The 16931-nt window shown below is 43.7% G+C and overlaps 1 long non-coding RNA gene across 2 annotated transcripts in view, besides 1 other annotated feature; it reads right to left on the minus strand.

Moving 5' to 3' along the window:
* The window catches only part of LOC105370003 (uncharacterized), a 389555-nt gene that overhangs the window by 73501 nt on the left and 299123 nt on the right, over positions 1-16931 (minus strand). The gene's annotated exons all lie outside the window — the stretch shown is intronic.
* Positions 4905-5014: a silencer, noted in NCBI's record as "silent region_4898". NCBI's record gives its function as "represses an Ori minimal core promoter by ATAC-STARR-seq in GM12878 lymphoblastoid cells {active_cell/tissue: GM12878}" and the evidence as "EXISTENCE:reporter gene assay evidence [ECO:0000049][PMID:35858748]".

Consider the following 16931-nt stretch of genomic DNA (forward strand, 5'->3'; position numbering starts at 1 on the left):
TCAATTCATTGAACAACTAATCATTCTCTGCTTTGTGCTATCACTTCTATTTCCATCTTGCTATTTGGCTATGTCTTTTAGAATTTAACATCTCATGTGTGGATAATTTCTCCTTAGTTCCCTGGTCAAGTCTTCATGGTAATCACCATCTATTGGATGCTTACTATATGTCAGCCACAGTACTTTGCCTTTTGCTGACAGTAACTCACCTATTCTGGACAGCAAGCTGGAGTCACAGGGGTTATTAGTAACTCATTTTGCTGATAAGAAACCAAGGCACTGATAGGTTACCTTCTGTGGCCAAGTTCATGCAGGCTCAGAAGCAAGAAAAGTGGAATTCAAACCCATTTTTCCATGTTCCAAAGCCTAGTCTCTTCTCCCCTTTGTTGAAACACCTCTTACTTTTATCTTCGTCTCTTCCATTTTCTCACTCAGGACATCCACAAAAACACTTTCCATGTGATTTTAATTTCTCTGCCTTGGTTTGATTTTAATATCTTTACCCGAGGTCCAGGTACAAGGCCAGACACAAGCCTAGCATGAAGAAATTTCTTAGGAATAAGTAAAAGTGCATCCGGTTAATATTTTTGGTGTGATACGGAAGAATGGATTTAGCTACAAGGTTGTTGACACAAGTTCGGAAGACTTTGGAAAGAATCACTGGGTCTTCTCCTGTTTCCTTGGTTGTCTTTATTGCCTGGGCAAACCCTTCCTAACCTCAATGTTTTTCCACTCCTCAGAAACAAACATCACATTCTTATACATTCTTTAGGCTTCAGCCTTTCAGAGAAGCCTTACAACTCCCCTGACCTACCACCACAAAACGACATCAGTTCTCCCAGTATGCTAGCAGGGGGTGAATTTCGTTCCCCCCAAAAGATAGGTTGAAGTCTTGACCCTAGGAACTAAGCATTTGATCTTATTTGGAAATCGGGTCTTTTCAGATGGAATCAAGTTAAGATATGGTCACCATGTGGGCCCTGCTCTGACATGACTAGCATCCTTATAAGAAAAGGAGAACAGACACACAGGGAAAACACCATGTGACAACAGAGAGCAGAAGGTGATGCAGCCAAGGGTTTCCCCAGAAGCCGGAGGAGCAAGGAAAGATTTTACCTGCAAAGCCTTCACAGGGAGCACTGCCCTACAAACACCTTGGTTTTGGACTTCCAGCCTCCAGTGCTGCAAGGGAATATATTTTTTTGTTGTTTTAAGCCACCCAGTTGTAGTACTTTGTCACAGCAGCAATAGGAAATTAATGCACACCTTATCCTACTTTACCGCATATGTCATACCTAGAATCAAGCCATTTGTATAAGTATCTATTTAATAGCCATTTGCCAGGAAAGAACCAAGTCCTTGAGAGCATCAACTCCATTTTGCCTGCAGCCACGCCCAGGGAGCACAGAGTAGGCCCTCAGTAAATAGCCCCTGCGTGCATCCATGAATGGAAGTCTCCCTCCTCCATGTTAACTAAACACTCTCAAGGCCTGTCGCCCCTTCTGGAGGCCCCAGAACCACACTGCCACGGCTGGGCTCTTGCTGGAGTCTGCTCTCCCTGGGACACACAGAGAGGATTGTGTGGATTCACAAGGACCTGGAGGCATGCGTGTGCTCCATCTCACTGACTTAATCCCACTGCAAGTAGGGTACCCCGAGGATCATCAGAGACCTGCCCTGTAAGCTCCTCACCTCTGAGCAATTAACTAATGGGTAGTTGGAAGTAATCAAAGACTCCCATCGGAGTCTGTCAGCCAAGCCTCCCTTGGAAGTCTGAAAACAAAGACTATCTGCAATGCCTAGGCTTCAAAACCAGGGAAATAAACCTGTATCAAATCAAATTCCCTGCCTCCAGCTGAAGAATGTACAGGCTCCTGTTGTATAGCCTTCTGGCATTCTTAGGGCAAGAACTGTATTCAGCCACTAACCTTTCTCTTAAATTGCCTATCCAAGATAGGCCATTATTATAATGAAATACCTCAGCTGGGAATGTTCTTGGTTGCAGCTAAAAGGTTTTCTTTCTGACTACTGTGCTCCTAGGCGCTGCCTTAATTTGGGGGAACTTCCCTTTGGCTGTTTTGAAAGGATTTTGACAGGTCTGTTTATATTTTATTTGATTTGCTTCATTTCAGTGTGTGGGTCAGCATGCCCCAGTCCTAATGATGATGAAAACTGGAAAAGATGGGGCAGCCCCAAGAAAGGATTAAGGAAAGAGCCATCATTTTAGTGAGGGAGAAATGGGAGTCAAGCCTGTGGTTCTAGAAAGCTCCGCGTCCTGCCCTGTGGCAAACCCACCAGGAGCTGGAAGAAAGTGCTCAGACGTGGTGTTTGCAGCCTTAGGACCCTCTGGGCCTCCTTGTTTGAACCACAATGCCCTTTGCACAAGGCTGTCTCAGGAGCAGCTGATTTTAAGAGAAGGGTTAAAGTTCATGCTAAATCCCAAAACGCTTAGAGCTCAAATTCAAGGGAGGCTAGGTGGTCAGAGGCCTTGTCAATACTTGAAGAGTAAAATGCTTGAACGTCCATCAAAGGTCCTGTTTGATCTGATATCTGGGTCTGCCCTCTCTTCCAACATCGAGGCTTCAACCCAGAGGTCTCAAGTTGGTGGTTCCAGGGCCAAATCTGGCACGTGGATATGTTTTGTTCAACCTGCTCAGTGTTTGTTGGTTTTATTTACATTTCCCTTAATGTTTTTTTTTTTTTTTTTTTTGCTGAGTCATCAAGATAAAAGAAAACGGGAAATTTCACATTAAAATATCCAGCTCTCCTTGCAAAATCAGAAAATCTAGCCCCCTGGGCTTGCATTTCCATGTGGCAACCGTTGACTATAAATGAAGAGCAGCCAACCCCTGGCAGATGAGGGGCCTCCTTATTCCCCATCACTCATGTCTCTGACCTGCCTGGCTCTGGTAAGCAGACTAGTTTGAGACCCCCACTCATCTAACCATTCAGCAACACAGCCCTCGTATTTATACCACAGTGTCAAATTAAATGTCACCCTTTCCAGAAAGACTCTCAAACCCTCCCAACGGAAAACTTCCCACCTGGCCCCACCATAGGTTTGTGTTTCATTTGCCTAACTTATTTGGGTATGGATCCTCCCCTCTGTCTGGGTGATGTGAATAACTTCATTCATCTCTCATGACGTAACACACATCATCTCCTTCAGGAGGCCTTCCCTGATTGCTCCTCCCTCCTCCAGCCTGCTGTCTTTTGCTGCTTCTGCCTATCCAAGCTTTTATCATCCTTGTTTCTTCTCTGTCTCCCCTGCTGGGCAGGAAGAGGGCAGGGGCTGAGCTCTGTAAATCCAGCAGGAAGCATGCAGCTTGGCTTCTGGGAGGGTCTCTCGGGAAGTGTTTGCAGAATAGAGAGAAAATGGGACAGAAAGGAAGAAAAAGCTCATTTGCTCAGGATATTCAGTTAGAATGCTGACAGCAGGAAGGCATCATCATAATAGTAATAATAATAATAATAGTTCCTAGCACCTACTAGGGGCTTTGTATGTGAGTCTTTTACATATTAATTCATTGTGTTAGTTTCAGTCCTCTGGGAAGCGGAAGTCTAGATGGAATGAGACATTTACTGAGGGAGATGTCTGTGAAGGATAAAGGGGAATGAAGCAGGAGTAGTCCAGGAGAACCTGCACATCAGGATGCAGGTCCCACAGGGGAAGAAGAGAAGGGAGGCGGACTGGGCAGGAAGAGCCTGCAGGATAGGTCTGGTCCACTCCGAGAAAGTCTCTGCCTGGTGATGAGGAGTGGCCCGCAAAGATCGGCCATCAGAGCAGTCCCAAACCAGGCAGGAGAGGCTGGGCTCTAGCACCTCTGCCATGCCCAATCATTGGTTGGCGGCAGCTGGGAGAGCGGGTCCTGGCTGTGCATGCTTGGGTGGATCTTAAGTTGGGTCATCTGGAGGCTCTCAGCTTGCAGGACTTCACACACGGAGGTCTGAAAAATCCCAGCTCCAGGGCTGCAGCACCCAGATAATCCCCACAACGCCCCTAGGCACCACTGCTGCTATTGCCAAGCTGCGCCTTAGGGGAAGTGACATGACCTGGTCCAAAGCTACAGAGCTCTTAGAGATGGAACCAGATATCAATACCAAATCAGGCGTGTAGCCACCCTGCCCTTGGATCCTCGGCAACCCTCGGGGAAAGACAGGTTATTAGAGTCTTGGGTTGATGGCCCAAGGCCCATTTTTCTGAGAAGGAATATGGGACCCTGAGCCAGGAGTTGACTTGGCCATTCCCGAGGGAGGCCAGCAGGCACACCCAGGACTCCTGGCCTCCTGCAGCCGAGAGGAAGGAGACTCCGAGGCACCGATCCTTGGGGTTAGCAGGAGGTGGATGTCCACCAGCTCCTTTGTCAACCCTTCCCCAGCCCCACTAATGATGATAACACCAGCCTGGTCCTACAGAACAGCTTCTATGTGTTGGGGACTGTTGAACCACTTATATCTTTGCCTGTCTTTAACCTCCCGGCATCCCTGTGACGCAGACACCTTTATTCTTCCCGTTTCCCAGGGGAGAAGATAGAGATGCAGAGAGGCAAGACACTAGCCCAAGGCCACAGTTAGAAAAAGGCAAAGTTCAGATGCAAAGCCAGGTAGGCCCTGCTATTCAAGGCTCTGCTAACTTCAGCCAAGCAAGTAAAAAACAATGGATGTCCTGTGAACAGTGGCATCTTTGGAAAACGTCGCTGTTTTTATTAATCTCTCTCAAGATAGATGTTGCTCAAACACAGCAGCGTCGTGACAGTGCCAATAGCCAGCAGTCTCCTGTCCGCGTGGGTTGCGAGCCCCGGGCGTGGACGGAGTTGGGAGCGGAGGGCGGCAGGTGCCAGCGGGGCCCGCCTCTCCCTGCAGGCGGCCCCGGCAAGTTCACGGCCGGCCCGGGGCGAGGGGCGAGCGGCGCGCGGCCGTGCGGCTCATTCTACCGCCCTGCGTGCGAAGGGGAGGCCGCGCCCCCGCGCCCCTCGCTCGCGCCGTGCCTGCCGCCGCCACCCGCCCGGCCGCCGGGCCGGCCACTGAGCGGCCGCTGCAGACTCGGCGGCGCCGGCGCACCTGCAATCAGGCCCCGCGCCGCGCCGCCTCCTCGAGCCCAAGGCCGCCGCGCGCCGCGCTCGCCGCTGATAAGAGGCGGCGGGGGAGGGGCGCAGGATGCTGGCGTTGCGGAAGGGCGGGGGATGGGTGGGCAGCTGGAGCGGGCTCCCCTCCCCTCCCCTCCCCTCCCCTCCCCTGCCCTTCCTCTCCCTCTCCCTCTGCGATGTCTCTCCCGAAAGTGTGTGACTTGCCCATGTCTGTCTCTTGTCTGCGCCTCTCCCCTAAATTCCCTCCCTCCCCAGCCCTCGCCGCGAGCGTGTGTGCGCGCGTGTTCGTGTGTGTGTGCGTGTGCATGTGTGTCTGTGTCTCCAGTTGCTCCCTGTCTCCTGTACCTGTCTCTGTGCACTTCCTGACCTTTCTGTCTCCTACTCCCCACCTCTCTGATTCTCTCCACCTCCTGCTGATTCTGTCGCTCTCTTCTCTCTTAGCATCCCCTCTTAGTTTCTCCCTCTCTCCCTGTTCTATTTCTCTCTTCCTCACCTAACTTGGAGCCAGTCCCTCCCCTCTCCCTGTGTCTGTCTTCTCTCCCTCTCTCCATCTTTCTGACTCTGACCTGCCTCTCCCCTTCTCTCTCCCTTCCCTGTCTCTCCGAGTCCTTGCCTGTCCTCCTCTCTCTGCATCTTTTCTTTCTGCGTCCCCAACTCCCTCTCACTTCTCCGTTCTTTCACTCATTTGTCTGTATCTTCCCTTTTCTTTTCTCGCCCTGGGCTCCTCCCCATAACTCTGCGTGTCCCCTGCCCATCTCAGCATCCTGTGGCACTTTCTGCATGGCCGGCCCGCCTGCAGGGACAAGGCCTTCAGAGCCAGCGGTTGCAGGAATAGCTGGACCCCACAAGGGGCTAGGCTCAGCAGGTGTCCTGACTTCAGGGGGCAGGACTGTGCTCACCTGTGCCTTTCATGTAAGGCTCTGGCGCACTTCACAAACAGTCATTAAGGCCTGCCTGGGGGCAGGTCAGGGAATATCACAGCCTGGGCTGTTTGGTTATCTTCATTATTAATACACACTCCCCTGCCTTAAATGAGTTTAGTGCAGGGGACAGAATCCCGACTGACGCCTGGAGAGATTAAGGTTTCCGAGGGTTGCACAGGCCAAAGATGACAAACTGATACAGCAGGGATGTGAGTTTCTGCTGCTTCCTTCCTGCAGTGCAAGCCTCTGCCAGGAGCTTATAAACCACCCTTTCTGAGACGGCTCTGGGGGTCAAGAGATGGGGCTAGATTTATCTGAATGGGTCCTGGCCTGGTGGTCTGCTTTGCACCAAACATGCAAGCAGGGATCTCAGTGGAACCAGCCCCTTTTGCACTTGAATAAATTCAGGAGCGATGGGAGAAGAACAGTGACATAGGGTTTATTTGTGTATTCATTTTTCTGACCAGGGGATGCATCCAGAAAGTATCAGTAGTTAAACAACAAGGGGGCTCAGGAGTTGCCATGCGTCAGCATCTCAGAAACTGCATCTGGGGCAAAGCCACTGGGCCAAGAAGGCCAACAAGGTGGTGCCAAAAGCACATTCATTGGGCAGCTTTGCTTCATGAAAGCAGCTCAGATCCACATTCAAGCCAATTTGCCCAGACAACACTTCCCCCCACACCAACTCCCCAAAAGGGATATTTCTTTTTTTTTTTTTCTTTGAGATGGAGTTGCCCAGGATGCCCAGGCTGGAGTGCAGTGGTGCGATCTCAGCTCACTACAACCTCCACCTACAGTGTTCAAGCAATCCTCCTGCCTCAGCCTCCCAAGTAGCTGGGATTACAGGCACCCGCCACCATGCCTAGCTAAGTTTTGTATTTTTAGTAAAGACAGGGTTTCACCATGTTGGCCAGGCTGGTCTTGAACTCCTGACCTCAGGTGATCCACCCACCTTGGCCTGTCAAAGTGCTGGGATTACAGGCGTGAGCCACCACACCAGGCCCCAAAAGGGCTATTTCTGGCAGCTACTCTGGTGGCAGCAGTCATAACTAATGCTCACTGTTTAAGCTCACATGTCCCTGTAAAGAAAGAGCCTGTGTGTTGAAGCCTCCGGGATGGCTGGAATTGGGGGAAGGGAGAGAGACAAAATGCTATGGCCATTTGAGTATTTTTCACCAACTCTGCCTCCAGTATAAGAAGTTTTGGTCTAGTTGGGCACCGTGGTGCATGCCAGTAGTCTGTTATTCGGGAGGCTGAGGCAGGAGGATCACTTGAGGCCAAGAATCCGAGGCTATAGTGAACTATCATCGCACCTGTGAAAAGCTACTGCATTCCAGCCTGAACAACATAGTGAGATCTTATTTCTAAAAATAGATAGATAAATAAGAAAGTTAAAGTTATTGGTCCAATACTGTCAGTGAAAGGCCTTTGCTCTGTGACTTGCCATCTCTGGGCCTTAACCATAAAAGAAGACACTTAATCTAACAATTTATTTGGCCCTTTCAAGTTTCTAGTCAAGCAGTTTCTATCTTTTGACTTAATACACACTTCCCCTAAATGTGTATTAAGTCACTAAATATATATAGTATCCTTAAAGTAAGTGTATCTTTATTCCAGGGCTGCAGGTAGGCCACACTCCCTGTTCCAGATCTCTGGGCTTTGTTGTTGTTTGTTTTGGAGACGGGGGTCTTCTCTTTTTTAAAACTAGACCAATCTAGTGAAATGCCATGACATTTTATTTTGAAAGACTCATGCTAGGTTATATACTAAGCATGCAAACATTCTTGAAATCTACTGTAACCTCACTTTGATAGCAAATACTAGTCTACCGGTGAGTTGAAAGACTTAAATTTTTTTAAACCATTTTTTTAATCATTTGCAGATATTTAAATAATTTTTAATAGCATCACTTACTTTGACTATCATTGTCAAAGATGACAACTTCACCTCTCTGCTTAGTAAGTAGTTCAGCTAATAAAGTACAATAAAACAAAGTGTCTATTGTAGAATCCAGATCCTAAGCATATAGGTATTGACTAAAATTCTTCCAGCTTTCCTGTTTATATGAACAATTTTATAATAAATGCTAGGAACAAAAGTATAGAATGTCCGCCAGCACCTAGGAGAATATTTAGTCTGTAAATCAAACTTCTTGTCATCAAAGATCAGGATCTGGCTAATAATTAAATCACATGCAGAATCTGGATGCTTAGTGGCTCTCTTTGAGAAAAAAGAAATGCAGCCTGCTTGGCGGCCCAGCCCAAAGCTAGCCTGGAGGAGCCGCAGGAGGGGCCTGCGATGGAGAAATCTAGAATCTGATTGCACACAGGCCACTGACTCACACTGTGATCTTCGGTAAGTAGGTTTACCACTCGGTGTCCTGTTTTTCCATCTGTGAGATGGGAATGATAACATGGGGCTGCTGGGTCAAGCCAGCAGATAACTTCCAGAAAGCCCTTTGAGCTTCTTGGAAACAGCACTCGAGATATGATGAGGCGCCAGCATGCTGCAGAGATGTGTGCCCAGTGGCAATTGGAATGATCCAGGTTCAGTCTGGGCAGAAGTGGTCATCGGGCTGTAAACAGAGCTTTTCAACTGCTCCACCTGGTGTCATGCATCTCATCTCCCCTTCCCCCTGCCACCCCCCTGCTTTTCTGCCCCTCCCTCCATCGCTCCCAACACAGCTCCAGCCTGAAACGCTTTCTCCCTCCTAAAACCTCCTGCTGTCACAGCCCAGTCATGTCTTACAGCAGTAATGTCGATAAGAAGCAGTCATTACTATTATAGAAGCTTCCATATTATTTTACAGGCCCTGTACTAAGTGAGTGCTTTAAAAGCATCATCTCTTTTAATTCTTACAAAAAATCACCGAGGTAAATATTCTTATTATTTCTTTTTTACAGATATTTATAAAACTGATAGCTACCAACTCCAAAACACTTTTCCTAACTTATTCCATTAAGAGACAACTCGTGCTAGGTGCTTTACATACATGGTATCATGCAGCCCTCACCACAGCCAAGCAAGATGAGACTTCCTTGTCTTTGCTTCACAGATAAGCCCCTCTGAGTCTTCATCAATGTACTCTTCCTCATACTTCAGTATATTTTCTGTGACTTTATCAAGAAGCTGTTTTGCCACTTTCCCTCGTATTTCAAGAGTGCACAAACACCTGCAGGGTATGTTTTATTTGCTGTAAAAACAAAACTCTGAAGTCTCAGTGGTTTATCACAATAAAACTAAATACAATGCGAGTTGGTAGAGGGCTCTGTTCCATGCAGTCATTCAGGGGCCCAGAATCCTTCCACTTAGTAGCTCTGCCTTTTCTATGTCTTTAAAGTCTTCTTCTTTTGGCAAGTAGATGAGAAGAGAGAGCATGAAGGATGATGTGGGAGGTTTTTAGGGGCCAGGCCTGGAAGTTGGGAATATCACTAATGCCCACCATCCATTAGCCATAACTTAGTCACAGGGTCTTACTCAACTCCCAGAGACACTGGGGAACATAATGTAGCTTGTGCCCAGGAGGCGAAAGAAGAGAATTTTTGTGAACATATAGCAGGCTCTGCCACAAAGTCTCAAGAATACACAGACGGGGAAAAGAGATGTCCTTCTTCTGTAAAAGTTCCAAAATTAAGTATTTTCAGAGCTGTGCACCTCACCCCTAGCCATGAGTAATCTCTCTACAACACACCAGCTGGGATTCCCAGCCCCTTAAACAAAAATAGAAATAAAAGGGACAGGTCCGGTGGCTCATGCCCATAATCCCAGCACTTAGGAAAGCCAAGGCAGGCAGGCAGGCAGATCGCATGAGGTCAGGAGTTGGAGAACAGCCTGGCCAACATGGTGAAACCCCATCTCTACTAAAAATACAAAAATTAGCTGGATGTGGTGGCGCACACCACCCAAGTAATCCTAGCTACTTGGGAGGCTGAGGCAGAAGAATCGCTTGAACCTAGGAGGCAGAGATGGCAGTGAGCTGAGATCATGCCATAGCACTCCAGCCTGGGCAATAGAGTGAGACTCCATCTGAAAGAGAGAAAGAAGGAAAGAAAGAAAAAGAAAGAAAGAGAGAGAAGGAAGGAAGGACGGAAGGGAGGGAAGGGAAGGAAGGGAAAAGAAAGAAAGGAAGGGAAGGAAGAAGGAAGGAAGGAAGAAGAAAGAAAGAAGAAAGAAAAGAAAAGAAAAGAAAAGAAAAGAAAAGAAAAGAAAAGAAAAGAAAAGAAAAGAAAAGAAAAGAAAAGAAATCTGCCCTGGAAGTCTTGACTCCTTGCTAATAGAACTTCCGTAGAGGAACAATAGGAAGTCTGACCACTTTCAGGTTTAAACCTGTCAATGACTCCCCAGGAATAAATCTCCTCCTCTTGTCAAGTTACACCTGCCCCTTGGGATGTGGCTCTGCTCACCTCCCCAAGCTCCTCTTCTATCACTACCGCAGTGCCGCTTGCTCTGTGAACACACTAGGCTCTTTCTCATCTCCAGGTATTTGTACACGCAGCTCCCTCTAGCTGAAATACCCAGCACTGGCCCCTACTAACAGCTATAGAGCAAGCTCCTCTTCACCCTTTAACACTGTAAAAAAGCCACTGTTTCTTGAACGCCTTCAGTGCCTTCGTAGGCTCCTACAGGCCTTATTACATTGTTATAGCTATTGGTTTGCATTTTCTCTCATGCAGTGACCTACCCCACCAAGCCCAACCTTCAGACATAACCCCTTGGAGAGCACAGTGTTTAAGGGAGGGCGGCTGGGGAGATGGAAAGAGTAGTCTCCGTGGTCCTTTAGAACTGGCTGGCCTCTCCTCACTTACTAGTTTGTAGCAGTTGCTATGCTTGGCCTACCCAACCACCCCTTTCCACAGCTTCCATTCTAGAAGAGCCCAGTTTTTCTTTCATTGCTCCTGTGTTGCTGAAAAAATCCCGATTGGTTAAAGCCAATCATGTAACTCCTCCTCCCATTTTCTTGCTAATGATTGGATGAAGAGAGAACATGTGACCCCCATGAGCAGGCATCTGCGAGGAGCTACTTGGAAAGGTTTCTTTGCTCTGTAAATAAACACAGAAGGAATGGACATTTTTCTGGCTTGAGCCATGGGCGTATGAGAGAAAGTGACACCTGAAATGGCACAACCAACAGAGGCAGAGGCAACCTAGAGGGGCTGGTGAAGGAAAAGACAGAAGGAGCTTCTGACTTCAATGATATTGTTGAGCTGCTGAATTACTCAACCCTGGAACCATCTTAACTGCATTTCTTTGTCTACGAGATTGTAAAATCCCTGATGTCTAATTCTTCTGAATCTTTGCTTCTTGTAATTTGAAGCTAGTAATGTTCTAATAGGTGACAATATAAATTCTCATCCCAAGGTAATTTATCATCCTTCACCCGTTCCCTTCCTCCCACCCTTCCAAGTCTCCAATATTATTCCACACTCTATGTCCATGTGTACACATTATTTAGCTCCCATTTATAAGTGAGAACATATGATATTTGACTTTCTGAGTTGTTTCACTTAAGATAATGGCCTCCAGTTCCATTCATGTTGTTGCAAAAGACATGATTCCATTCTTTTTCATGGCCGAATAATATTCCACTGCATATAAATACCAGTTTCTTTATCCAATCATCCAAAGATGCTATTACCAATTATATCAAGGCAACAGAAGTAAACTGTGGGACTGAACGAAGTAAAGTGGGAGGTATGCTCATCTTAATCCTAAATTAGATATATGCAAGTCAGTATATATGTTGGATATAAACTTCCATTTCATCATCTACAAAATGAGGATGAAATTATTCCATTTGTATTGTTAGTATGAGAATTAAATAAGAAGAAGCTGGGCACAGTGGCTCAAACCTGTAATCCCAGCACTTTGGGAGGCCGAGGCAGGCAGATCACTTGAGGCCAGGAGTTCGAGACCAGCCTGGCCAACATGGCAAAACCCCGTCTCTACTAAAAATGCAAAAATTAGCTGGGCTTAGTGGCACACACCTGTAGTCCCAGCTACTTGGGAGGCTGAGGCAGGAGAATTGCATGAACCCGGGAGGTAGAGGTTGCGGTGAGCCAAGTTCACGCCACTGCACTCCAGCCTGGGTGACAGAGCAAGACTCCATCTCCAAAAAAAAAAAAAAGAAAATTAAGAAGGGATGTGAAGTACCTCAAACACCTCCAACAGTGCTTAACACATAGCAGGCATCTGTCCTTCTGCCTACACACAAAGAGAATTCTGGTCTAGCCCTTCAGCTTATTTCCCTTTCTCTCTTAGAGGCTTCAACTGTTGCTCTACTGAATGTTCAGATTTTATTATACAGAATCACAAGAAGAGAGAATAGAAATAAGAGAAATGGTCCATGGCCCATAGGTTTTATGTCTGTTTCACAGTGTACAGGAAGTACAAATAAAGAATGTGAGTTATAGGAAATTAATTTTTGATTGTTTGTTTCATTAACAGTGATAGAGACTAGAGATTGAACCACAGGGCTCATGGACTTCTTAGGGCTATAAATGAGTGAATGAATAAATGGATGAATGAATATTTTATTAGGATCAACAACCAATCAAGTGTCTATCTGCCAAATTATAAGGATGAATCTGAGAAAAACTATGTGCTTAGAGAAATGTGCTTTATGCATCCCGTATTCCATTCTTTACCTATTTTTTAGTGGCTATACCTTTATACTGAGCATTCCTATGTGCTCTTGTTCTTCACATCCCAATTACAGAGTAACCCCAGAAATAAAATCAATTACAGCTATTAGATAAAACTGATGTCATAAACAAAGTTATCTTGTACTGCCACTGCCTTCGATTCAATTCAAGTCAACCAATATTTATTGAGCACCTTGGAGGTCTCATACTGTTACCTCTTCTGAGGTATCTGAATTTTGAGGGGAAAGGAAAGGACAATTTTTAATCTAAAACAATTTATTTCAAATGCACTGAGAAGCCCCCATAGGAAAATATTTATGGATTGGAATCTCTTTTGAGCCTTCATCATCCCACTAAACATTCTGCTTATCCCTGACCTACAGATTTGACAAATCTTAAATAACATAGGTGAATCATTATGTGTTAAAAATGAAGACTGCTCAAAGAACAGTCAGGTTGTTGATCAGCCAGATTGAAATTATTTTTATAACATTTTTAATGTTTTTCTTATGACTAAAGCAGCAACACTTAAGAATTCAGGACATTAACAAATGTGCAAAGAAGAAAATAAAAGTCACCAATCAGAAAACCATGGGCACTATATGCTTTCTTCCATCTTGACGCTCTTGCTTGGTTGTAGATATCTATATATTTGGGGTTGTGGCAAAAAATGTTATCACGCTCTTTAGATTACTCTGTAACTTTTTTTCATTTTATCTATCACCAATATTTCTTTCTATTCTTTAAGATCATGGTTTTAATCACTATATGTGTTGTCTTTTTTTTTTCTTTCTTTTTTTTTTTTTTTTTTTTTTTTTTCAGATGGAGTCTCACTCTGTGGGCCAGGCTGGAGTGCAGTGGGGTGATCTCGACTCACTGCAAGCCCCACCTCCTGGGTTCACGCCATTCTCCTGCCTCAGCCTCCCAAGCAGCTGGGACTACAGGCGCCAACCACCACTCCCGGCTAGTTTTTTTGTATTTTTAGTAGAGACGGAGTTTCACCATGTTAGCTGGGATGGTCTTGATCTCCTGACCTCATGATCTGCTCACCTCCAACTCCCAAAGTGCTGGGATTACAGGTGTGAGCCACCATGCCCCGCTGTGATTGTCCTTTTTTGCATTATGACTTTTTTTTTGTAAGAATCTACTGCTGAACAGCTAATTTCCTTTTTCCCTATTGTAATTTTATGACCATCTTTGTATATATATCTGGATGAATATCTTTGATAATCTGATTCTTACTCCCATCACCTCAATAATTATTATTCTATATTGTTTTTCTATTTGATAGGCAAAAAACCAGTATCTATCTTCTTGTTTTAATTTGCATTGACTTTATTATAATGCTGCTGTTGATTATCTTTTTATAACTTTAATTGGCCATTCATAGCCCTAGCCTGATTTTTCTATCTATACATTTATCTTCTTATTAATTTACACTAACTCTTCATATAATAAAATCGCTAATCATTTTACTTCCATAATGTCTATATTTTCAACTTACAGTCCTCTTTATTTTGATTTGTATATTTTCTGGTTTTAATTTTTTATTTGGTTTAATATATAACTTGTAGTTTCATCTTTTATGATTAAAAAAGGGTCCTCCAACCTGAGTTCAATAAAAGTTCATCTATATTTTTTCTAATTCATTTATAATTTCAATTTTTATATGTGACTCAATCTACTTATATTAAGTTTACTACAGGACATAAAGTAAGGGTTTTATTTTGTCAAATAATTTATCATTTGTCACAGCATTATTCTTCACCTGCTGATCATTTCTCCATTGATTTGAACTGACACCTTTATCATGAGACTTCACAAATGATTTTATTTGAACAGAGCTTCTTAAGCAAACAAATAAAATATTCTTATCTGTGCTTGAGATGATTCATGGGATTTTATATTCATTGAATTTTATATTCATTGAATTTCATCTGTCTATTTGTCATTAGACCCATACTGTTTTAATTACTGTAGCTTTATAATATGTTTTAAATTTGGTAATATAAGTCTTCTCTTATTTTTCACAAAAAACTTTATGGCTACTCTCATTTAATTTTAACTTTAAGATCATTTTTGCTTAATCTTGATGAGTTCTTTGAAAACTTTTTTCAAAATTTATTAGGCTAATTTTTTAAACTAGAGAAGATTTTGTTTCCTTTTTTAACTCTCTTATTCTTAAAGTTTTCCATTGATTCAATCAGATCATCTGCAAATAATTATATTTTTATGTCTCTATTTCTTGTTTATCTTCATCTTATGTAGTTTTCTTCCTGCCTTATTGCATTGACTAAAACTTCTTAAAAATCACTAAAAAGTAATCATGAGCATCCTTATTTATGCTTTCAATGGGAAGGCCTCCACTATAAATGATGTTTCTATTGATGTGAAAAAGAAAATCAGTATTATGTTAGAGAAGCATACTTCTACTTCTAGTTTAATGAAAGCTGTTTATTATTCTTGTTTTAAATCACATGGATTTTGAATTTACCAAGTATTCCTTTTTGATCTGTGTCAAAATAACCTTGTTGGACCATCTTATATTCCTGGTATAGACCCTACTTCACCTTGGTGGTTATCCTTCTAATGTAGGATTTCCAGTTGTGCTCCAGAAGGCACTGGGAGTCCCATGGAGCCCCTCAGGAAATAAGTGAGAGTGGGTTTAGGGAAAGATTGGGGAAGAAAGAAGGAGAGGTTGGGATTTTGGAAAAGAGGGACTCAGAAGACCCAGAAGGAGGTTCTATTCACAGTATCACTGTTGCAACAAATTAAGACTTCACAAATGATTTTATCTGAACAGAGCTTCTTAAGCAAACAAATGAAAACTTTAGCTTTATATACAGCATGATTTAAGGTCGATTTTTTTTGTCCTTATTTATATTTATAAGTGGGTGTGGCCTGCAGTTTTTCATTTTAGTGCTGCACTGGTGTATTCTCTGCCATTATCTATGGGAAGGTTTTAGGACTGTCCTGATTTCCCTAAGATTTTCCAAGTTTTATCACCAAAAGCCCCACATCCCAGAAAACCACTCTGGGAAACCAGGACAGTTGGTCACCTGGGCAGTTTCTAGAGAATGATGACTTCTTATCTCTTGAAGATGGAAAGTACCTCCCTGATAAATTCCTTTGACTCAGGATTTTGTTTTTTAAAGATGACATATTGATAGTTGTGCAAATGTTTTCCCTGGTTTCTCTACATGTATAGAGGCACATACATACCTGTATACTTACACACATACATTAATTTTTAATGAATTTTATTAATATTTCCCTAGAAAATTTGTCATGTCATTACATTTTTTAAAAAGTGATTAATATAGAAGAGTGTTTCTCAGCAGGAAGTGATTTTTGCCTCCCAGGGGACATTTGGCAATGCCTGGAGACATTTTCAGTTGTCACAACTTAGGGGTGGGAGGTCCTACTGGCATCTGGTGGGTAGAGACCAGAGATGCTGCTCAACATCCTACAATGCCCAAGACAGGCCCCACAATAAAGAATTATCCATCCCAAAATGTCAATAGTGTTCAGGTTGAGAAATCTTGATGCAGAAATATATACAACACTCCTATAACTTTAAATATCCCCTTCATATCTTCATATCCTGTTTCTCACCACTAACTTGGGGTATTTGGATTTCCTCATTTTTTTCTTTGTTAAGCTTTTCTGTAACTTGCTCTTTTAAGATTTGTTTCTTAAACAATAATCTCTTAAGTTTACTTAACCAAATTTTGATCATTTTTTAGTCCTTATTGTTTGATTTTAGCCACTTCTTTTCTTCTGCTTTTGCATGGTTTGCTTTGATGTGCTTTTTCCAAATTCTTTTGCTGAAAGCTATTAGGTGCAAGGCAATAAGACCCCTTTAGGGCCGGCATTCAGTGACACAACTGTGGCCCAACATTATTTCAGCCATCAAAGTCATGCCAAATTGTGGGGGAAAGTACTAAAAACATACGTCCTGACCTGTTTTCTGGCAAAAGTCCTAGTTCTAACAGCTGGATCAATTCAACTGATTACATTTTAATTAAGCCCACTAATACCTACAGCTACAAAATAAGACTTTCTTTCAAAAATACACAGAAATTGAGATTTTTAAATAAAAAGATTCATAAGGAGAACCAGGTTAAGTAAGATATCGAGCACATGAATGAAGGAAGAAAGGTAAGGTTATGAAGTTGGAACAGCTGGAAGGAGGGATGCAGAAAAAAAAAAAAAAACACCAAAAGTGAGTTGAATTGATGATGGTGGTGAAGAGATGATGAGAGGGGAGGAGACCTTAA

This window comes from Homo sapiens, chromosome 12, assembly GCF_000001405.40.
Source record: "Homo sapiens chromosome 12, GRCh38.p14 Primary Assembly".
NCBI lineage: Eukaryota > Metazoa > Chordata > Mammalia > Primates > Hominidae > Homo > Homo sapiens.